We start from the raw sequence: 24,246 nt of genomic DNA, 5'->3' as shown, positions 1-24,246 counted from the left end.
ACTTTCCTCAGAATTTTTATTATTGCTTCTTTTAAATCCATACAAGCATGTACATATACACATAAACTCTCAGGGTTACAGAGAAAGTGCTACTGAGGTCTGGGCAGGAAATGGGATTAATCCATCTGCTCCCAAGCATGTCCCAGCTGACCCAATATAAGCACTCTGACAAGTGCTCTCCCTGAAATTTAGCCTTTTCTAAACAGAAAAGGCTGAGTAATATTACAGTGAAGCCAGTAACAATGTCTATATCATAATGCTCATAATCTCCACAATGATTCCAATGGATATTCTTCAAAAGGCTGAATAGGAAACTTCCATGTTCATGTTTATTGTCTTTCATTCTTTTCTTCTTATACTCTTTTCTTCATTTATTCAATAAATATCTATTTATCTAGGGCTGATTATGTGCTAGGCACTGAACTAGGTGTTAAGATTATGTTTTTAAACTGTAATGCCCTAGTCTTTAGTAATGAGTCACAGAGAGGCCACTCATTACAATACAACTGGAGAGTAAATGCCAAGATGGAGAAAAGCACTGGATGGATGTGTGGGAGCACAGAGGGCACCTCATTTATTAAGCGTCTACTTCATGCCACCTGGGCATGAAGACAACCATTCATTCTCACATGGGCTGGAATCTTACAACACCCTGATACAGAATGTACAGTTATTTGTGATAGTTGTTTCTCTTGTCCTGCACCTGGACCAGTCCCCAAGACATCTTATCCATGCCCCCATCTCTAGATGTCCTCAAGAAGACCACACAGCCAAATTCTGGGACTAAGGTCTTATCTTCTAATGAATATGTTAATTATTACTAGCATGCTGTAACCTCATTCGGCAATATCCTAAGAAAATGCTGCCATGCATTAAATAAAATTACTTCATTTCTATAGACGTATTTAAGTCGCTCATACAAGACTCTCTGCTGGGGCATTAGATGTTACAGCAATAGCTAGGATGTGTCTCCTATCCTTCTAGAGTGTGTCCTCCAGTAGAACAAGTACACACATAGAACCAAAATACATCAAAATGCCTGAATGTCATAATGGAGTGCTTTGTAAGTATACAAAAAATGAAGTGGCTTCTTTTGGACCTGAGGACTCAGGAAGAGAAAATGGTAATTGTTCTGAGTCATGAAGATTTGTTAGAATGTCAAGACAGAAGAACCATCATTGTAAGGGGAAGAAAAAATAAAACTAAAAGGACTATGAATGGGAAAGTACAAGGTATGCTCTGAAAACACTTGGTACACTTGGAGTGTTATCAGGAAGGTTGTCAGGAGGGGATAAAATAGGAAAGCAGAGGGCAGATCAAATTGGCCTCGAATGCCAGGCTAATTCATTCAAGGCACATTCTCTGATATTATTCTAATCCTAATGTAGCTCCATGACAGAGTCCAAATCATCCTTTAACTTGGTTGGTGAAAGTTTTATCTTGTATGGGGGCAAAGAACCAGATTGGGTGAGAAGTGGCAATAGCATGGAAAGAACACAATCACTGCTTTAAGAACTTCCAGACTGGTGGGCAGCCAGTCTTATCCACAGAATAGAATAAATTCAGCACTTCAAAATTTAATATTCACTAGTTAAAAAAAAAAATTCTTGGCCAGGCGCGGTGGCTCATGCCTGTGATCCCAGCACTTTGGGAGGTAGAGGCAGGCAGATCACTTGAGGTCAGGATTTTGAGACGAGCATGGCCAACATGTTGAAACCCCATCTCTACTAAAAAAAATATTAGCTAGGTGTGGTGGTGCATGCCTGTAATACCAGCTACTCGGGAGGCTGGCACAGGAGAATCTCTTGAACCTGGGAGGCAGAGGTTGCAATGAGCCAAGATCGTGCCACGGCACTCCAGCCTTGGCAACAGAGCAAGACTCCATCTAAAAAAAAAATAAAAATCTAACTTCTACCTCTTAACGTGATTTATTTTTGTGCTCCTTGGACATGTGCGGTCACTTTATCAACAGACAAAATGTATGTATTTCTTGGGGAAAATGGCCCCAAAGAAATTCTTCCTGTGATGGAGATGAAGTGATTAATACTTTATTGGACTTTATGCATGGATATGACATGTACAGTGACAGTTATAAATCAAGGAATTCTCAGGGGCCCAAGGTGTAGCCTGCTTGCATTTACAGACAAAATAAATTTAATTTGGGACCAAGAAAAAATGCATACAAATAGTAACGTGCATAGAAAAGAGATTTATGCTGTTTAAGAGAATTATATATGGACACAGGAGACAGGGAGGAGGGATTGTTGCTTGCATTTGAAAGACGGTCTATTTGTGAATTGTGTCTTTTATCTCTGGAGGAGAAAATAAATAACAGCAAGGGAGATTCACTGCAAATCCACTTTTGTCAGCCCCATGGCAGGTTTCTTCAGTTTGTAGTTGTTACATTTAGATATGATGCAGCCCCCATGGATATTAAATCATTATGATAATTGGGACTATGATAGAAAAGTCATTGTCTTCTCTTTGTTGTTCAGGTAATTTCTCATATTTACAGTCATTTTGTGTACATGAATGAAGTTGCGTACAGCATTGGGAAGTTATTAGATTGGGGTTCCACTTCTGCCACCAACATTTTCTAGCTGTGTGACTGGGCATATTTCACAACTAGTGTGAGCCTTAGTTTTCACATATGTACAGTGGAATAAGACTATCTTCCACACAGAGCTTTTGAAAGAATTAAAAGAGAGCATATATAAAACCTAGAAGGTGTGAGCTAGTAATGTACAACTTGGTGGGATATGAAACTCAACAAAAAGGGTCGAATAAGGAAACCCAAAATATAACTTATTAGTCTTATCAAAGGGAGATCAGCCTGAGGAGGAAGTGACAACCACACTTATATGACACTATACACAGAAGGGCTACCCTCAGGTGTCATTAATTGTGAATCATACCACAATGATATTAAGACAACACACTTAAAAAACACACATCTAGGCTAGGCGCAGTGGCTCACACCCGTAATCCCAGCACTGTGGGAGGCCAGGGCAGGCAGATCATTTGAAGCCAGGAGTTTGAGACCAGCCTGGCCAACATGGTGAAACCCCGTCTCTACTAAAAATAACAAAAATTAGCCAGGTGTGGTGGTGCACGCCTGTAATTCCAGCTACTTGGGAGGCTTTGGTGGGAGAAACGCTTGAACCCAGGAGGCGGAGGTTGCAGTGAGCCAAGATTGCACCACTGCACTCCAGCCTGGGTGACAGAGCGAGACTCCATCTCAAAAACACAAAAACAAACCACACCTCTGCACTTCAAATATACACGTGAGGACTATTCATCTTAATCATCTCTCAAAGTGAATAATTAGCTTTCAAAGGTTGTTCCTCTCCCCCTTTTCAAGAGCAAGCAGAGAAAAAACAGAACAAGTGCAGGCTATTGCCAGATAGATACCCTCCTGCATGATCTACAGTCGCTGCTTTGTGGCTCCAAGCTGGGGTCCAGTTGCGCTGCCAAGATTCCACACCAAAAAAACACAAAATAACATCACTTACAAAACCTTTTAGCATTTGGGGGCAAACGATGATACTACATTTTAATTTATACTGAGAAAAGAGCATAATTTTTTCTCTTTTCTGCTGTGAATTCAATTCTCTAACAGGGCCAAATTTGATTAGACCAACACAGGCTGAATTTAAGTGTGTAGATTTCAGGTGATTTGTTTCTTACTTTCTGCAAAGGTGCCGATATCACATAAGATTTCACCAGGGCTTCTTCTAGCCAGAAGACATGTCCTTTGACAGCCAATGTGACCTTCGTAGCTCTGAGCCAGGTAGGGAGCAAATCTTTCACATGCTGTAATCCTCTAAGTGTGTTTTGGAAACAGGATTTACATGTCTCCCTATTAGATGCTCTTTACTTAGAACCAAACAGCATTATAAAGTAGACTTCCGAGGGCATTCTCTTTCTGGTTAGTAATTTAACTAGAATAAATTGAATGCTCTGGATGTTTTCTTCCTCCTCCTCCAACTCCTCTTCTTTCTTCTTCTTCAACATTGTCAACATCATCAGACACTGATAATACAGCAAATCTGTGAAAGAGTTATGCTAAACACTAAGTTGTCCTAAATTAACTCAGAAGGTCTTGCCAAACCCTGAATACAAAAAAGGGCAGGAATAAGTTTGTTGCAAACTAATTTTCAATTTATTGTGAAGAGAATGGGCATTTATTATGAGAAGAATGGACAGTTTCACCCTGTCACCCAAGCTAGACCCCTACTTTGTACAGCTTCTTTACCTGTGTCATCTTATTTATCTTCACAATGGTCTTGTAATTGTAGTTGGCATTATTTCCAACTCAGAAATGTTAAGTAATTTGCCCCTGGTCACCCCAGCAATAGGTATGTACTTACTCTCTGACATTCCATCTGAGATTTTTTTTTAACCTAAACTCAGTTTTCTTATTCAATTCAATTGATATTTATTGAGTACCTATTATGTACTAGGTACTTACTTGTACTAAGAGCTGAGTATACACAGTCAAATAAGACATAATGTCTTCCTCCATAGAGTTTTAGGCTGGCAGGGGAAACAGGTATAATAAACATAAAAGATATGTCATAAATGCAAAAATGAATATATATATGAGGTATAGAGTAAGTAAGATGAAGAGGGGCATGATTAATTTCATTTAAAAGAGCAAAATCATAAAAGACTTACTATCAAATTTTAAAGAAGGAGAAGGAGTATGCCATGCAGATAAGAATAAAGGCTGCATGTTGCAGACAGGCCATTTCCCTGTTTGAATAGAAGCTGTCTTCAGCCAATGGCATCTGGAGTAGAAAGTCTTTCAGTCTTGAAAGGGGATCTGAGGCACTATGATATCTGAGGCAAAGAAATTTTATACACTTCCTTAAATGATTATTTTATAGTAAGCTAGAATTTGTGTATGAATTTTGCTAATAGCCTAGATGTGGAATTTTTAAAGCAAGAGGAATATGTTCACATTCAGGTGGCGTGTTTAAAGAAAAAGAAATTTTTTTCATATCTGGGAACATTGGATTAGTTTCCTATTGCTACTATAATAAATTACTACAAATTTAGTGGCTTATTACAGCACAGTTCTATTCTCTTACAGTTTTGGAGGCCAGAAGTCTGAAATCAGTTTCACTAGGCTAAAGTCAAGGTGTGAGCAAGGCTAGTCCCCCGTGAAGACTCTATAAGAAATCCATTTCTTTGTGTTTTCTAGCTTCTCTAGGCCACCTATGCTTCTTGGCTTGTGACCCCCTTCCTCACAGCCCTCCAACCTCTTGTTTTCATTATCTTACCTTCTATTTCCTCCTTTGACCTTGCCTACCTCTTACATGGACCTGTGTGATTATATTTAGGACACATTCATATAATCCAGGAAAATCTCCCCATCTCAAAACCCTTAATCACACCTTCAAAGTCCCTTTCAGCATAGCAAGTAACATTCACAAGTTCTCGGGATTAGGATATAGATATACTTGGGGGCCATCATTCAGCCTACTGCACACGGGCATTACAGTCAAAACTTCTTGCATTGGCACTACTTATGGGTGCATTTTTCTGGTGATTGTTAGAATGTCTGTGCTAATTTACACTTGTCCAGGTCTGCCTCCTTTTATAACATCAGGATAACTAGGGGCAAATAATGTATTCTCTAGCAAACCCCTAATATGTTTGAATAAAGTTAAAAAACTTTCTCTTTCTATTCTGACTAAAGGAAGCCAAAGCAAGAGCACATTGAGAAACCTTCATACCTATGCTAATGGAGACTTGAAAATTAAGGAATATCTATAGAAATCATGGAGGAAAAACAGACATTCTTGAAATGCCACCTGAAACAGAGAGGGGAAAGAAATTCCCTTATGCCTCCCTTCCTCCTACCCTCCAATCTCCTGTTAGTGCCTCCCATTGGCTGAACCTAGTCAGAAGTGATTTTCCCAGGGAGCAAATTCCAAATTACATGCAAATTGCATGTAATTTGCATGAAGTCAGCACTTTCGATGTAAAACAGAGCAGGGGAAGTAAGGGAATTAGATATGAGAGAAAATGATCAGCACATAAACTGAATCTTGAGAAAACCAGGGTTGAAGTTCTTACTGAGTTTGTCCTGGTTATTCCTGCCTCATCCCCTTCAATTTTGCCTAAATATCTAGACATTCTGTGCATAGAAAGAATTTCCTCACTTCACTGGTTCTTTACAAGCTGAGTCATTAGTGATGGCACTATTCATTGTGTGTGATTTCAAGATCACTTTCCTGACCAGGGCTTGGAATTTCTTAGCCTTTCTCCCTTTGAGCACCAGGAGGGAACAGGAGCTGGGAGAAGCTGGGGGCTAGTGGGGCATATTGTATTTACCAGTCACTGGGCTTGATCATAGAACTGGAAAATAGAATGCCCAGCAGGAAAAATTCCTCACTTCACAGTGGATTTTGATCAAATATTAACTATCCTGAGTATATTTTAAAATTTGTACAGTGGTTCCTATACTTAGAGGCCAGTGCTTTAAACTCCCCACTCAGCCCTACTTCTATTGAGCAGTCCATCTCCCCCAACCCCGTGTTGTGCCTGGTCTCTAATCCAAGCTTTTACCAGACCCACGAGACCATCCTAATTGGATTTTAATTTCATAATAATCTTTAGCAACACATTGAGTTCAATTCATTATAGCCCTGAGTAGAAATGCAAATGAAATAGAGCTCCCCATCTTTGGCCTTGAGAAGCTGCCACTGCTGCTGCTTTTTAACTTTTAAAAGGTATAAAGGAAGTTTCAAAGAAATGTACAGAGAGCTCCTGTGCACCTTCCACCCTGCCTTTTCCCAATGTTGACATAATGCATAGCTATGGTGCAATGTTGAAACCAGGAAATGTCTACATCCATAGAGAAGCAGCTTCATTTTGTAAGTTTAAGAAGACTCCTCAGGGCTGGGGATGGTGGTGGTAGGCAATATTGTAGTAGTAATATTAATCCCATATATTCACACAATGCTTTTGTACTTTTTAAAGCTCTTTTATCCCTTCCCATGAATGTAGGGGTTCTATTAGCAAGTTCCACATTCAGCCAAGGGTTGCTGACACCTCAGTTTTACTTGGTAATTCAAAAGCCAGAGGTTTTATTATAAGGGGCTGCTTCCCATTTTCTCATGGAAGGACACTAACATCAAGTTATCCCATCAAAAGATGACTTAGTACCCTTTGTCCTGCACTTTCTATTGATTGAAAGAAATTTCTCCTCTTCAGAGGCAGAAGAGGCATAGTCCTTGCCTCTATGTAGCTGCTCCCTTTTCTCTGATATGCCTTCCTTTACCCCTACACCTAGTCTTCTAGTCTACCCAATGCTTCCTCATCCTCTAAGATTAGGTCTAGGTGTTAACTCTTCTTAAGCACCATCCTCTTTGTACTTCCTCTCTGTACTGTGTGTACCAACACAGTTCTTTGTTCATGCCTTAACAAACTTACTGTCTATTTTCTTGCCTGTGTCCCCTAATCAACAGGGAGTCCTTTGATGGCAGGAATTATATGTTTAAACCTTAATTTCTATCCCCAGCACTTGCTGTAAATGGATTAATAGACAGATTCATGGAATAATTCTGTGTCAATCTGGAAAGGTAGGAAAGCTTTAATAAAAACTGAATAAAAGGTATAAAAATAAATAAATTCTAGCTTATCTTCTCTTGAGGTCTTCTGTACTTCTTTGCAGATGTCACAAGGTTTGGGGATATAGAACATGTGATGATGACAGAGCTGGGTCCATATGAACTTTTCAAATAGACTGATGGCAAGAAGGCAGCCAGATTAAATAGAATTAAATATAAATTTTGAGTTCCTTGTTAAATGTGATAAACACCTGCCTATATTTTTGTTCCCTTCCAAAACTCCACTAAAGTAACAATTAAGGAATTTAAATAGGTAAATAATCTAAGGTCCAAAAAGAAGTCGGTCAAGACAACACATGTAAGATATATGAACAAAACTTTGGAAGCTGGAATGCTGATGATTGATTAGAAAATGACACATCAGAGCTGAGAAAGCAGAAACCCAAGTACTTACGGGAATATGAAGCTAATGAGATGTGCAGAATCCTGGAAGGACTTGGGTATTAAAGGCCTTGGGTATCTGAAGACATGGGTGTGAGGAAGGCCTGAAAAAACAAAGATGAGTTAGAAGTTTTAAAAGGAGCAGCTATAGCTTCAAATTCTCTCTTCGACCTGCCAATCATTCCCACCCAACCAATGTTTCCTCTTTGGAAAGACTGAACAAGATTGAACCTGAGGCATCAGACATGGACGATGGTGGGGGTAAAATGCTGCACAGAGAACACATATATAAAAGAAGGTATTTAGTGAATTGTGAGACATACCCCCGCCCCCACCCTTGTCTAAGCCCCACTCCTCCCTTCACTCCCAGAACCTGGTAACCAGGCTTTTAACCTGAAAGAAATGATATTAAGAGACTCTGGGGAAACTGACTTGGCATAGAGATTTATAGGTCCTGATATTTGAGTGTCTCCAAAATGAACATGTCCCCTGTTTACCACTATTCAACAATACCTGCCTGCACAGAGAGCTTCCAATCAGCATTTTAGTGCCTCATCATTAATTTGGACTTATAAGCAAGGATCACCAGACACCTGAGAACATCCTTAAAACAAAACGGAATCACAAAGAATCCAGAGAATCAAGAGGTAATCCACAGAATGGAGGGAAACATCAAAATACCTCTTATTAATATACTTAAGAAGATGAGACACCCATTAATTGAGAACAGTAGCTTTTAAAAAGGAACGTTTAGGGAAGAAAGAGCTTTTGGACATTTAAATGTATTAGATCACACCTGGAATATCATGTTCAGTTCTAGGAGGACCCTCCCCCACCCCCATCTTAAGAGGGGCATTGAGAAAGTAGAGGTTGCCCCGAGGAAGTCAGAACCTGGATGTATTCATTCATGCACATACATGTGCATATGGCAAACATTTGTCATTTGCCTTCATAAGCCATCAGACACAGTTCTAGGAGCGAAGGAACCAGAAAAGATCCAGAGGAGGCTGAGTGCTCAGGAGTTGGGAAAGGATGGAGACAGATGATACAAAATAAAGTACAGTGGTGAGCAGTGTGTGAGAGGAGAGACCACCAAAAGTGTCTACAAAAAGCCCTAAGGGGAGCAGCTGAAGGATGTGAAGGGGAGGTGTGTTACCAAAAGAACAGAAGAAATTAGAGCTTTTCCTTCCTTCTTTCCCTTTCTCTTTCCCTCCCTCCCTTCCTTCCTTCCTCTCTCTCTCTCTCTCTCTGTTTCATATCTGAAAGCCTATTAAATAGAGGGAGAGAATTTGTTCTATATAGGAGATAAAAAAGGATTCAGATAGTGACTCAAAATGGGAAACAAACTAAGCTGTTTGGGCAAGGAACACTAAATTCCTACTCAAGACTGGCTTTTGTCTGAAAGGTGTTCTTTTCACATCCTCTTGCGTCCAGATAAATCCAAAATGTGCCAAATAGAAACCTGCTGTTTCTGCTATAGTTCTCCACTGAACCGAGCTAGCTTGATAAGCTCTTGTGTATCTGTTAGTTTATTCTAAAATCAATCAAACATAAGTAGATTGTATCAAAGAGGATAATTTCTTAAATTGAGTTATAGAAACCAGCTCTGTTTTGGTTAAAATAAATAGGAAAATTGTTGAAATGCGATGATTCCTGGCTCTTGGATTTAAAGCATGAATACCATTCTCGAGCAAGTCCCACAAAATTCAGGCACAGACTAAAGGAGATGGAGAATAAATTTTCCAGCAAATAACAATGGAAAAAACTTACCCTGTAACTGTGCTGTAACAACCCCCAGAATCGGGCTTCAGTCATCCTGCATCTCCCAAATTTTTAGCCTTTCGTTGTACAAACTGCAAATAATTGACACCAGGCTCTGAGTCAGCTTTCTGATCCTCACCCTCATGGTTCAAATTGGAGTCTAATTATAGGAGCTACTCCTACACCTCCATAGGCAGCTTGCTTGGGATTTTTTCTTAAATTATTAATCAGAGGAAAGATAAATTTGCCTGTTTTACTTATACAGGGATGAACTGTCTCCTAGCTGATTTTTATTTATTTATGCATAAAAGTCTATTTTTTATGGTTACTTACTTTTATTATTTCCTTCCCTGAGTCTGGAGGATAGAATGGTCAGATTAGTGTATGTTTCATACAACCCTATCTGTCATTGCAGCACAGCCCTCATCTATAAATATTCCTTAGGCTCTGGTGTATAAATTGCTTCAATTGTTAAAGTGTATAAATTGCTTCAACTGTTAAAGATGTATCTTCCCATATTCCCAGTCACTGGAATTCAGAGAGCTTAGGTCATAATGATATCCCTTTAAACCCAATGTGTCCCAACATGGACTCAGTGTCATTTTCTTTTCTTCCTCTCAATGGCAGCTCCTTTCTGTTCTCAGTCAGTTGCCCAAGCTGTAAACCTGAGGGAACCTTGGACACTTCCACTCTTTCTCATGGGCCACACTGAATTAATCAGCAAAGACTCTTATTTACACTTACCAAATGTATGTCCCTTCTCCATTCCCATCTTCTTCACCATTTCTCACCCAACCAGTGAAAGAGATGCCTAAATGACCTCCAGGTTTTCTATCCACTATCCAGGTTTTCCATCATAATACTGGGGACTAAGTGACAAATATAATATATCCCTTAAAAAAACACTCAATGGCTTTGTAATATCTTTGTTTTAGAGGTCAAATTTATAACAAATGGTACTATGCAATGAATGGCATAGGGTTACATTTTGGCCTCACTTAAGTGACAATTCCAAATCCATGTACAACCAGGGAGTTCTTCACTTTCTCATAGATCCTTTGCCAAAAATTAGGGGAACAATTTTTTAGAAAAAAATTACTGAAATAAGCAAAAGAAATTTCTTTTCTGAGTCATGGAAGTAACTAAACTGAGCATGAAATTGTTACCATAAATTGCACTGAGGAATTTCTATTCAGCTCCTGTTTATGAGTTTGGGGGCTGTGGGTAAGTTCCCATTATGTGATTTTTCTGGCTGCATAACACAAAATACTCGCAATATTAATATGATAAATAGGAACACATTTAGCATCTCAAGGAGTAAAAGGTAATCTTCAGATTGAGGGAGAATCTAGCTAGGTGATTTTTAGGATTCAGAAATAGATAATTATGTTGAGAACGAAGTTATGAGTATAAACAATTCTCTCAATCCGTCTCTTTGCCGATTCTTCCTTTCACCTCAATTGAAAATTGAAAATTATTTTAGTGGGAGGGCTATAGAGGAGTAGAACATATTTATCGAATTCTCCACATTTTGAAATGGCTGGTTCACTTTCTTATCAGGAAGAGGGAGAGATGGCCACATTAGCAGCCTCACTCCATCAGTTAGACATATGTCAGGTACCTGCAATGTTCTTCACAGATACTAAGCAAGTACTTACAGATAAATAAATAGTTGTATGTATGCTGAGTGCTGCAAAAGAAAAGTATCTGTTGTATTTGAAGGAAAGACCTGTCGTATCTCAAAATGATATTTTGAGAAGCTTTCATTTGAGCAGTATATTGGGGAACTCAAACAAAGCCTTTTCATTTTGATCATGCCAAATCACCTATAGAATTCACTTATAGAGATGTATCTATAGTCATATCAGAAATTGGCTGCTAAATGGTTACTTAGGGTAACCAAACAAGTCTGAGACAGCCATGGACATGTTCATGTCAGGAACAAAACAGAAAAGTAGTCACTTGTAGAACAAAGTCTAGAATCAATGTAGGAAAAAAAAAAAACTGAATGAAACTAGGACTAGAAGATTTGAGTTTGAGTCCCAGCTTTGCTGCGTGGCCTTGGATAAATTGACTAGCCTCTGTGAGCCTCCATATTCCCTTAGTGGTCTTCCCATTGTGGCTCTACTTACCTAGGAATAGTGGTGTATTAGTTTGTTTTCATGCTGCTGCTGAAGAAGCAAGTCACATTTTGCATGGATGGCGTCAGGCAAAGAGGAAACTTAGATATTATTTTAGCTCCTGGCTCCATGATTTTTATATAAAAGAACAAGACAAATTCAGCGAAGATTTAATATTTGAGTTTGCCAAGGAAGGTTTTCTTACCTAGTGGATGCAGTCTTAGGTACTATGCCTTAAATTAGAAGGCACAGTTCCTAGTTCCTCCTTCTGATGCACCATTAGCTATAAATCACACCAATTAAACTACAATTTGTGCATCCACACTCTGGCACTTTCACTCAACCTGCCAATAAAATCTTGAGAGAATCACCATTGGCAGCTAGGCCCTAATAATATCTGAAGTTTCCATTTTCCCCCACAGAGTTTCACATTTACTCTCTCATGCATGATGCCCTTTGTGGCTTTATTTTTACAGCTAAGACAGGAATCTAATTCCACTTTTGAGATAAATCTCAGAGAGAGGAAGTAGTTGTGTAGGCAGGTTGGGATATTTTTAAAAAACTGCATTGGTATGAATTACTTTTGTCACCGCTTTCTATTTATACTGTACAATTCAGTTTACCAAACATTTTTATCTGTTTCTTCATTTGATCTTCACAGCAGTCTTGTAATGTAAGCAGGAAATCAGTGATGTCTCCATTTTATAGACAGGGAATATAAAGCTTCAGGAGAGCTTCACGGTTTTTTTTTATTCATTTATTGAACACCTAGTCTATTCCTAACAATGGACTATGCCATTTACAACTGCTGTTGCATTTACCTTTCAAAAAATCTGATCAGGTAACTACTTTTTTTCTATTCTGCATATGAGAAAGCTGAGTATTCTCTAAATTGAGTATCTTATGCAAAATCCACACTAAAAATCAATAATAAACTTATGATTCAAACATGAATCAGATTTATCTCAGAGCCTTAAAAAATAATAATACATCAGTTACTCCTGTCAGCCAAAGAAAACAAGCTTTGCCAACTTCAGGAAGTTTCTGTGTTGACTCCATTTTGCAATAAGTCTGATAATCAGAGAAAATCTGCCTTTATGAATCTATAAAACAAAGCATGCATGAAGCCAAATTGAAATTTGATGTATGTAATTTTCAGAGTTATATGCATATTATATGAAATAGCTAGTTAGGGATTCAGATTGTTATTTGCCTATAAAACTTACTTTATTTCACACATTAAAGAATTCATGAGTGTTTGGCTGAAACCTCTGTAAAGTTTCTCCATCCAAGCTGCAAGAGATTGTTCTAGTCAAAACAAATGATCCCAATTCTATCTGAAAACAGAGAAGGGGTGAGGAGGAATGGAGAAAGACATACCTTAATTCAGTGTGTTATTAAAAATTATTCTAAAAGGCTGATCTATTTAGTATTAGATCTGGTAAGCTAAAGGATCATTTCTGTTTATCAGAACTCTTCATTTAACTCATCCAATTCAGCAAGCACTTACGTTAGCATTTATTAGCTGATAACTGTGTGCCACACGCTATGCCAGGTGTTAGGATACAGAAGAAAACATGATAACATCCTTGCCCTCATGGTATCCATAACTGAGTTATTAATGGTCAGTAGCAAAGAAGTACAAGAGATAGGTGCATACATCCTCTTCCTTTGTGGAGTGCAGAAAAGATAGACTCTTTATATTGTCTAGAATTTCTGGTTAAGTTGGATTCTGATGAATTTAGTTCATAATCTATTTGTCTCTCTCCATCTCTGTATCTCTCTCTCTTTTTCTATGTCTCTCTCTCTCTCTCACACACACACAAACACACATACACACACACACACACACACACACACACACTCCCTCTCTCTTGGATTTGTAAGCCAAACATCTGTAAGTCTTTAGCAATGGAAAATTCCACGTCACCACTTCAACACAGAGGCAGGTTGGCAACTTGAGAGATGAGCTAAGTCGGGTTGAAGTAAAAGCTAGTAAAATCCTTAGGCAGTAGCCTGGAGAGATCCACCCCAAATCCTTCCAGTCACCAGAGCTCAGCGCTCTTGACGGAGGTGAGCATTCCAGTGCGTATCTGGGAGGGGAGCCACGCTCCTCAAATAGTTCCTAATGACGTCCTTCCTGACAGGATGACTTGAAAAGCAGCCAGGGTGAGAAAAGCTCTAAGTGTACCTCTAAAGCCTAAAGTAATGTGACTGGGCCCCTTCTGTGCATATCTGGCTCTGAAATCCCAGGAAAACTAGAAAAAGAAGAGGTGATGAAATGGCAACCGTCTAATATTTTCTGAGCTCCAAATAATTAAAATTATTTTTGTATCATCATATGAAAGAATGTTGACAAAGCATTGCTTCTTGAAATTGAGGTGTAAATAGTGTTCTATGGCTAATCCTCTTATGTGTGACTATTTGGTTAAGAGTCCGGTGGAAAGAGAGCAGTAGTATATTTGTTTGGGATTTTCTAGTTTTAAACATTCTGAATTATCATATTTCATTGATTATAAGACTTACATCTTCCCCTCTCTACAAAATACATTTCAGCTTGTGAAATCAGAAGAGTCTTGTGTCCACCCTCTCCAAGAAAAAGATGCTTTTATTCATTGATGGTGCTTTTTAAAATCGATACTGCTTAAAAGGATGGAAATAAATTACACTCTCTTGGATATTCAGAACAACAATGTATGGGGGTAGGGATGATTTCTATATTTTACAAATGAGAAAACAGCATCTCTGAGTGGGTATGGTATTTTCTTAACATCTCTCAGAGCCAGGACTCAAATCCAGAAACTCTGATTCCAAGGTACTGCTTTGAACCCCAAGTTGCTCTTCTCACTCTATAAGTAACCAGATAGTTCACAAAGATTTAACCTGCCCCAATTTGTCCATTTTAACATGGAACTGACTGTATTAGCGTCTTTCCATGATAGAAGGGTTTCTTGATATCCTGTTACCATCTAAAAAGAACATGATACTCCTCAAATGGAGCAGATATTTAAATACCAAATGCTCTTTTTGTATTCACAAGATGAAACTAGAAAATTACAAGTAACTATGCACTATCCTGTGAGCCTCTTGAGGAAAAAAATCTGTTCAGTGGATTCGGTATCCCCAGCAATTAGGATTGTGCAAGGCATGTAATAAACCCTGAAGAAATATTTACTGAATAAATGAAAGAAGGATGTTTCCGCCAAAGAAATGGAAACATTTATAATTGCTCACAGCATCTCATCCCTGGAGCAGTGATTACATGCTCTGCTAAGAATAGATGTAAACCATTTCTGCTTCATCCTTACCATGTACCCTTCCTAAGCCTCAGTGACAATGAGGGTCACATCCAGGTAAACAATATTGTGACCCCCAACAGACTACACACCATTGACATTTACCCCAGCCATATTGGAAGTTGTCCTAAAGCACAAATTTCCTTTATTATAAGACACCAAGAGCTTCTAGTTCAGATGTGTCTATTTAAAGCATCGCGTGTGTACAGCAGGTGGTCTCTTCAAACTAATTCTCCTGTAGTGTGGAAATGGATAACTCAGCAGGAAAGCAGTCTCTGTTGCTTGGATGTGCAGAGTCCTGTTTACAGCTCAGTGATCTTACCAGTTGTTGTTAAAGCTGCACACGTTTATAATGAACAAATAGAAAGAGGGTGCCACTGTCACCATTAGTACCACTAAGAACTGCATATGTCTTTGTCCTGACAGGAGTCACCAAAGTAATAACAGCAACACCTATCTTATATTTTCAGAACACTTCAGTCAAATCTCATTTTGAGTCTCACAACCACTTTGTGATGTGAACCTCACAATTTGTAGATGAACAAACTGAGGTTCAGTAACTTCCCAAGGCCCCACTAGTAATAAATGACAAGATTAAGACTAAAAGCTGGCCTTCTAACATAGAGTTCCTTTTTTTTTTTAATTTTACTCCCAGTACCTTTTTTTTTTAATTATTATACTTTAAGTTTTAGGGTACATGTGCATAACATGCAGGTTTGTTACATATGTATACATGTGCCATGTTGGTGTGCTGCACCCATTAACTCGTCATTTAACATTAGGTATATCTCCTAATGCCATCCCTCCCCCATCCCCCCACCCCACAACAGGCCCCGGTATGTGATGTTCCCCTTCCTCTGTCCATGTGTTCTCATTGTTCAATTCCCACCTATGAGTGAGAACATGCGGTGTTTGGTTTTTTGTCCTTGCGATAGTTTGCTGAGAATGATGGTTTCCAGCTTCATCCATGTCCCTGCAAAGAACATGAACTCATCGTTTTTTATTATTCACAATAGCAAAGACTTGGAACCAACCCAAATGTCCAACAATGATAGGCTGGATTAAGAAAATGTGGCACATATACACCATGGAATACTATGCAGCCAGCCATAACATAGAGTTTCTAACCCTGTTCCCTCCGTTTATGGCTTCCTCTTATCTGGCAATCATGAGACCCCTGGATGAGGTCGTGACTGATCGAGGGGCATGCTGCCCACCATCTCACTTGGGAAAGGGGGAGGGCAGGCCATGGCCTCATGCTATTGCCTAACCCACTGAGTGTATTGTTTTCTTATCTCAGAACCAAAGTAAGCCACCTGAGTCTCGAAGACATGAGCAGCTGGGCAGTTTTAATCAATGCAGATTAATCCTACTGCATTAAACAATGCCAGCCTTCTCACAGGAGGCAATGCCTCCTTTTCTGTGTGAATGGTAGATTTGCATTCTGAGTCGCCTTACTTACCCTTAACAAATTGCAAACAAGTGTATGGCAGAGCCCCCCTCACTGTGTAGTTTGTGGTGTTCACACCTATGACCTTGCTCCATCCAAGTGTCCATCAGTAGCTCAAGGCCTTGAGATAATACTGATGAATGAAATCACTGATATTCCTGAAAATAGCAGCAGCTTTGGAATTGGACATTATTCTCCTGGACTCCAAGTCACTATGAACTTATGAGAGTACCCTGAGTGGTTGCCTAGCAGATGAGAAGTTCCACCTGATGGCAAGTGTCCCAAAGTATGGCCATCTGTGGCTCATTCCTATTTGACCTGGTGAAGACATCAATTCATAACAAGTAGAGGGAGGCCGTAACAGGGGGCTCTAGGAGCAGACACAGGTTTCCATTTTACTCAGTACAGAAAGGGGTTACAATTTTCGCAAGTGATGAACAAGAATAGGTGATGAATTACACACAGAAGTAATAGAAAGAATTGACAGTCATTACCAAGCGCCAATCTTTTAGATCCATCAGCTCTCTCATAATCTTCTCAACAGATCTTGAGGTAGGTCCAATTCTTATTCCTATTTTACTTGAGAAAATTAAGCACAGAAAGGTTAATAACTTTCACAGTAATGTATAGCTATTTAGTGGCACAACCAGGATTTTGACTCCATCTACATAACCCAAATCTTGTACACTTTTTACTATTATCATCCATCTTGTTCAAGTGAATACAAATGCCAGAACCCCAAATTAAATGCACCTAGTCAGGAACAACTGGCTTTACATACTCAAAAATGTGGAGGAGAAAATGGGTTATCATATATAGAGGTGGAGAAAGAACTAGCTGGGGGTAATGTTTCATGAAGCTCCTCTAAAACGTTTGCTTAGGAGTTGGGTTTCAGTGGTTTGCTTCTTGTTACAGAAGAAAATCCCCCCAAAACATAAAACAACTTGTAATTTAAAAAGCATTTACCAAACATCTATTTCATGCAAAGCAAGACAGAAGAAAATGCTGCAATTTTAATATTGTTTTATACCTCGGCATGATCATGCTTAATTTTCCTGTCAATGTCCTGTTCTGGAAGCAAATTCTTTCAGGTTCTGACTTGTTCAAAACTATGAAAGTCCTGTCTATACAGAAGGTAGAATGATAGACCCTGAGGTTTGGGAATAGAGATGAGTGAGGCATCCCAAGTCTCCAAGTAGCTTACAGTTTGATAGAGGGAAGACCAGCATGCACCTGACTAACACAATAGATGAAGGGAAGAAGAGCAAGATGTCAAGAGGGGAAGGGTGGAGAATTGAGGAAGCCTTGCATTCTAAACAAGCCTTATATTCTAAACAATTGTGGTGTTATAACCAATGTCATGATGTCATGGAAACAAAATGGCTTCACGGCGATCCAGGGTTGAATCCTAGCTCCATGTTCAATGAGCTCTGTTACCTAGTAGCTCTATGACTTTTGTGAAGTCAGTTAACCTCTCTGAACCTCTGTTTCCTCATCTGTAAAATAATATATCTACCTCAGAACTTTCTTAGGAAAAATAATGTATTTTTAAAAGTATGTAGTACAGATCCTAGCTCATTGCAGGTGCTCAGTAAATGTGAATTCCACATTGGATGATATAAAAATTGAAGCATTTGAAAATTTCATTCAAATGTTCTCCTGAGGCTTGGAATCAAGACAGTGTTATGAATTTGACTGAAAAATGTTCCAAAGGGACAGGCATAGATATGAGTAAAACATTTGAGGAAGAGAGAATTAATATTTAATGGATATGGTAGTGTTAGGTTTTTCTGTTTTAACTTGTTGAAAAATACAATTTCAGGACTTCTATAAAACATACTTATATTTCACAATTTGTGTAGCAGGTTTCCTGTTTACTTCTAGAGCATTTCTAACTATGAACTTGTTTATCTCCAAGAAGTTGGAGACAGAGCTCTGCCGCCACAGATGCACCATTTATATTTATAAACCCAGATCTTACTAGTTTTACTATGTGAAATTTCTTGTGTTTATGTTTAGTTTTCAAAGAAAAGTAGCAAAGAGACAGATAAGCACCTCTGACACAGGATTTACATTGAGATGACTGTCAAAGTAGGAAAGATGAAAACAGGATAGATTCCAATTAAGGCAAATGCAGTATAAATCATTCATTTTGGGGAATTTTAACACCATAGAATGTCATGCAGTCAAAACATTTCGAAAGCATGGCAGAAAACATTTTGGGTATCTAATAAGCCATACTGTAAGGCAAATATAATTTATTATTAAGGCAAGTATTCTATTGTGTTACAAAAAATGAGGCAGCTACAAGAGCCTAACAAAGTGTTGATTGTATATAGATGAAGTGTCAGAGAATTGTTTCCAATGTATGACATGATTGAGATGGAGAGATCCTGGAGAACAATAAAAATAACAGAAGAATTTGGAAGTGGTAGTTATTTGACGGAAATAAAGCCTTGGAATTAGAATATTTAGTTTTGAAAAAAGTAGCACTAGGGGAGATGCATGTTCATCTTTCTTATTGCAAAAACATAAAAATGAAAATGGACAATTTCAGTACCTGGAGCCATTTTATAACTGAATTCATCTAGGTATTCTACTCCCTCATTTATTTTTTATTCACTCAAAAAAAAGTTTATTGAGCATCTCAGACACTATGTTAGGAAAAGGAAGTTCCAAGAAGAATGAAAAATATTTCCTGCCCTCAGAGGGCTCAGTCTAATGGAAGATGAACAACTGTACAAATAACTGCAAGTTGGTGTGATGAATGCAATGAAGTAGCAAAGTGATTAAATGAGGGTTGGGACTTGCACAGAGTTAGATGTTTAAGAAGGGGCAGCTGGAAGGTGGGATCTCCTGCTTTTATCATGGGTAGTAAAGTCATCAAAGGTATAAAGGAGAGTGTCCCATCTCTCCAGATGGGAGATTTAGTGGTACTTAGAGATGACATGTAGTATTTATCAAGTGGCAATGTAAAGCATGGATCAGAAAAAGTTAAGAGTTCTTGATCTGTGTTCCAGACAAGGCCCTTTTCTTCTCTGGGAAATGCTATTAGAGGCTGTATGATTTTTGTGCAAAGGTTTGACCAGTAGTCCCACTTCTGGTGCTCTGCTAACCTGCTGCCAACATTCACATATACACCAAGATCCCTGTTTGTGATAGCAAAAAGCTGGACAAGCCTAAATATCTAATGATAAGGGAGTTGTTAAATACAGTCTAAACTATGGAATAGACTATTAAGAGTATTAAGAAACATGATATTTATGTATTTGGTAGAAGGCAGGAAAATATCCAAATTACACTATTAAAAAGGGGGGAAAAGTCTTAATACAATAAATAGCTATGGTCTTGTTTGTATGGTTATGTGTGTATGTACACACAGCTACCCACAAACACACACATACATATCCGGCACACAACCATACATGTACCACTAGGGTAAGCTGTAGGGAAAGAGAGCAGTGAGAGAGAAGGTAAGGGAAGGCAGAAGAGACGAGAGCCTCTCAATTTTTATCCTGTGTTTTTCTATATCTTTCAAAATTTTCAACATCCATAGACTTCATTTTGTAATTTAAAACAGAAATGAGATAATGCCCATGAAGCATTGAGCATATTGTCTGCCATGTGGCCAGCAATAAATGTTAATTGACTCTTCCAAGGTGGCAAGAAAATACGACTTGCTCAAAATGATTTAAATCTGCATACAGTATCGTATCTTTATTTTTCCTTAATTTTAAATAAAGACAGGGTCTCACTTTGTCACCCAAGCTGGTGTGCAGTGGTGAGATCATAAGTCACTAAAACCTTGAAATCCTGGGCTCAAGTGATTTTCCTGCCTCGGTCTCCCAAATAGCTGGGACTATATGTGTGTGTCACCACACCTGGCCTGCATACAGTATCATATTGATGTTTATAAATAAATGTTTTCTCTTGCTAGAAAATGAAATACATTTTCCTAAATTATAGTCAATAGATTTTTACCTTAAATATGTTGTTAAATATGTGTTCTACTTATTTAATCATTTAGGACTTATTTATTCAAAGCTAAGCATGAGCAGGAAGCCTTCCAAATCTGGATAATACCAGACTTTGCTTATGCACCAGAAATTTCCAGCCAACTATTATGGCTTTATCTGTTGTGTACTAAACTTTAAAAATATTTAATATTCAGAGTTTATTTTCCTGTTATCTATTTATTGCTGAAAACTAAGGTCAAATCTTTTAGAAAAGCTATCCCTACATTAATCAATACATATCCAGTAAGTTGAAATGAAATTACATTTTATAGAACTTTTTCTTATAAAGAATTTGAAACACTCTGTAAGTAGATCATCTTTTATTGTATACATTCATCCTTGTTTTATTAAAGTTGTGAATAAATTGAATTGAAAATCAAATTGTTTTCTGAAATATACTGATATACTCTATTAAAATTCTTCATGGTGAGTTTCTTTGTAATTAAAAGAACCATTTATAATTCCAATTAACATTTTTAAGTTTATTTGTGGGTAAGTTAAGCCTGCTGAATTTTCTAAAGCAAGACATTGTTTTGCCAAGGAAATGATAGAAGTTTCTAGGTTGTGATAAAAAATATTGAAACATCAAAAGCCGTTTCTTTTTACATGTTCATTGTGTTAATAAGTACCTTAGAACCGATTCTTTCTTTATCTTTATTGGGTTGACATGCCAAAAATATTTTTTTCTGTGAAACAATAGCAATGTTATAATATACAGATTTCTTTGATTTTTTTATCCCCATAACTTTTAATGTTTGAAAATTTCTAAAATTTGGCATGTGGGCAAAGCTATAGGACAAAATTGAGGTATGATCCCAAGTGGTCAACTTCTAGCAGACCCCCACCCCCTAACAAAATTTAGTTAAATTAAATGAAATTTCTTACACAATTCATCACCAAACTCTTGATTGTCAGGTCTATCAGGCTGAGAGTAACTAGAGTCTCTCCTCAATACCCTATTGAGTTGGGATTCCCATGGAGTTTTTTTTTGTTTTTTGTTTTTTGTTTTTTGCTTTTTGCTTTTTGTTTTTGAGGTAATTATAGATTCACATGCAGCTGTAAGAAATAACTATTTTACTCAGTTTCTCCCAATAGTAACATTTTGCAAAACTATTGCATATTATCACAACTAGGATATTCACATTGACACAATTCATCGATATTATTCAGATTTTCCGCAGTTGTGTGTGTGTGTGTGTGTGTGTGTGTGTGTGTGTGTGTTTAGTTCTGTGTAATTTTATCACACGTGCAGTTACCAATATCCACCGTGCAGGCAAGATAGAGAACATTTCCATCACCACAAGGATACTTTACATTGCCTGTTTATAACCACATCTACCTCCCTGCCTTCCCATGATCCCCCATCCTCCCTCTCCCAGCCCCCATGGACTTTTTACAAGTTGGGAATTTGATGGTGGTGTGTTTTCCAGGTACGTTTTGGGAAATAACTGATTTATCATTTTCCTCTTATAAATGTCTGTGAATAAATAATAGGAAACAGGCATACCCTTGAGTTGCACATCTCCCCATTGTTTGGCAAAGGAACCAACAACGTGGGTGAGGGGCTGCCTGGGCTGTGCAGCATTTCCAACTCTTGAGGGCACAGAGCAAAATTTGCTACCTTTGTTTTCATTCCCAGATTACGCTCGATTTGAGGCCAAAATCCATGACCTACGAGAGCAGATGATGAACCACAGCATGAGCTCCGGGTCCGGATCCCTGCGAACCAATCAGAAACGCTCCCTCTACGTCAGGTAGGCAAAGGAGTATTTCTCTATCTGCACTTTGTGAGCAATTCAACTTGAGAAAACAAAGGCAACACCATGTAGCAACAGAACATGTGTCCCACTTAACCCACTTTCATCAGTACACTACTGAAAGACCTTGTGTTTAAGCATTTGGAATAAATGTTTGAAATGTTATTAGATTAAATTAGTTAAAGGTGCCTGCTTTTATCAAGTTATTCTTTGGCAAAGTTATGATTCAGGATAAAATGCTCAGCATAGGTTGCAATAAAAATAATGAGAAGAAACATTTTCATTTCTAATAAATCTTAAATGGCATATGTGGACCAAACCCTTGGACATTTACTTACCATCAGTGTGAAAAGAAAATATTCCTGTATTATCTCCTAACCTGCCTGATACTGATTGCATTAACTTTAGTGCATCAGTTTAAAATCCACGGCATTCTTCTAAAGAGTTATGTGCTTTTCTCTAACAAGTTTTGGCAGAAAGACTTCCTTCTGTGTCATCTCGCTACCAGTTTTTTTCTCAGACCATAGAAGTTACTTGTTCCTTGTCTGACAAAACTCATCAATTTACCAGAAAAAGATAAATGATTGATTGAATGTGAAATGCCTTCCAGTCTTTCATCCTAGTAGCTACCTCTTGAGTAAGATCCATCAACACTCAACTATAACATGCTCCTCTTCCAAGACAAGCTTCCTGTATTACTTCCAAACTTCATCAGTGCTGACTGTACTTTTAAAAATATATAAGTACTAACAGGCAAAAGGAAGAAAGTGATGCCTAATTAACGGGCAACATGAATCTATGTACCATATGGAAGAACCATGCCCATTCTTATTGTATTCTCCACTCCCCACTCTGGCCTGAATTCAATCTGACTCCAGCCTGAGGTCATATCCTTCTTACCTGAAATTTTAGGCATGACGTATATGTTATAGATACTAATTTACATGCTTGAGTTGAACTTTTGCTGTTGGTTCCACTTTGGCTCTAAAGTTAAGTTTTGTATGTATTTGGTATTCACAGCAGGGCTAAGAAGGGAGTGGGATTCTGGAAGGCACAGGTTCTCATAGGGCTTAATTTCCCGACTGAACTGATAAGCCTAGAGTCCCTTCTTATTCCAGGGAAGCCCTGAGATTAAGAAAAACAAGTTATTAACCCTATGAATTTGGCCAACTCCATTTCAAAAGATTATTTTGATACCCTTAATTGTAATCTGTGACTGTTCAGAACCACCCTAAAACATGTCTTGTAGTGACATTACAAATATGATGGAAAGTTAACAAGCTCCATTTGTGGTTCTTCTTCTCTCTTGTGTTGTATTGCTGGTCTACATGCTACAAAGTATTTTTAAATTTTGAAATGTTTTAGTCCCTGGTAGCAAATTGGAAAAAGTCAGCTGGGTTAATAGGATAGAACTAAATCAGTTAGTGTAACTGAAATGGTTATATATATAATAAAGCTCGGAGGGAAAATTACCAAGTGTCTTATTAAGAGATAGAATGCATAAATTGTTCAGATACTAGAAGAAATTTGCTGAAATATATTGCTAATAGCTATTAAGTTTTGGAAGATTAAGAAAATTAAATGAAGTGATATGATATTATATAAAACTAATACACTTATTTGAAAGAGTAGTAATTAGATTCAGATCTTTATTCTCTAAAATCATAAATAAAAGTATAACGTACAGAAGAGACAAAGACTTAGAGTAACAAAGTAATGGTTGGAGATTGTATTGAAAGGAGGAACCTCTTTTTAATGAGACTCAAAAATACTTGACATTTCATAAGAAAGTCCCCAAATGAAATCTCTGTAATATACAAATATG

General features: G+C 38.0%; 1 protein-coding gene and 1 long non-coding RNA gene across 64 annotated transcripts in view; one reads left to right on the top strand and one right to left on the bottom strand.

The window, feature by feature from the left end:
• The window catches only part of DLG2-AS2 (DLG2 antisense RNA 2), an 87,698-nt gene extending 69,762 nt beyond the window's left edge, over positions 1-17,936 (bottom strand). Inside the window, exons 1-6 of the long non-coding RNA NR_187249.1 lie at positions 17,679-17,936; positions 17,143-17,227; positions 13,129-13,239; positions 11,915-12,027; positions 9,792-9,874; positions 8,035-8,125 (exon numbers count right to left, since the gene is read on the bottom strand). This is a non-coding gene — a long non-coding RNA (DLG2 antisense RNA 2). The remainder of the gene's footprint in view (positions 1-8,034; positions 8,126-9,791; positions 9,875-11,914; positions 12,028-13,128; positions 13,240-17,142; positions 17,228-17,678) is intronic.
• DLG2 (discs large MAGUK scaffold protein 2) overlaps positions 1-24,246 on the top strand; it is a 2,173,362-nt gene that overhangs the window by 1,972,745 nt on the left and 176,371 nt on the right. For 62 of the 63 annotated variants that reach the window (NR_165353.1, NM_001351274.2, XM_017017256.3 and 59 more), the window contains one exon: positions 22,304-22,418. Coding sequence is in view for 62 of the 63 variants with exons in the window: in NM_001351274.2 (NP_001338203.1) it covers positions 22,304-22,418 (115 nt within the window). In the remaining variant the exon portion in view is untranslated. Of the gene's footprint in view, positions 1-3,698; positions 3,791-22,303; positions 22,419-24,246 lie in introns of all 63 variants that reach the window. The other variant, NM_001377976.1, reaches the window with a different exon arrangement.

The sequence above is a fragment of the Homo sapiens genome, chromosome 11 (assembly GCF_000001405.40).
Source record: "Homo sapiens chromosome 11, GRCh38.p14 Primary Assembly".
In the NCBI taxonomy this organism is placed as follows: domain Eukaryota; kingdom Metazoa; phylum Chordata; class Mammalia; order Primates; family Hominidae; genus Homo; species Homo sapiens.
Note: the sequence above shows the minus strand (reverse complement) of the source record. Positions and strands in the feature narration are given on the sequence as shown.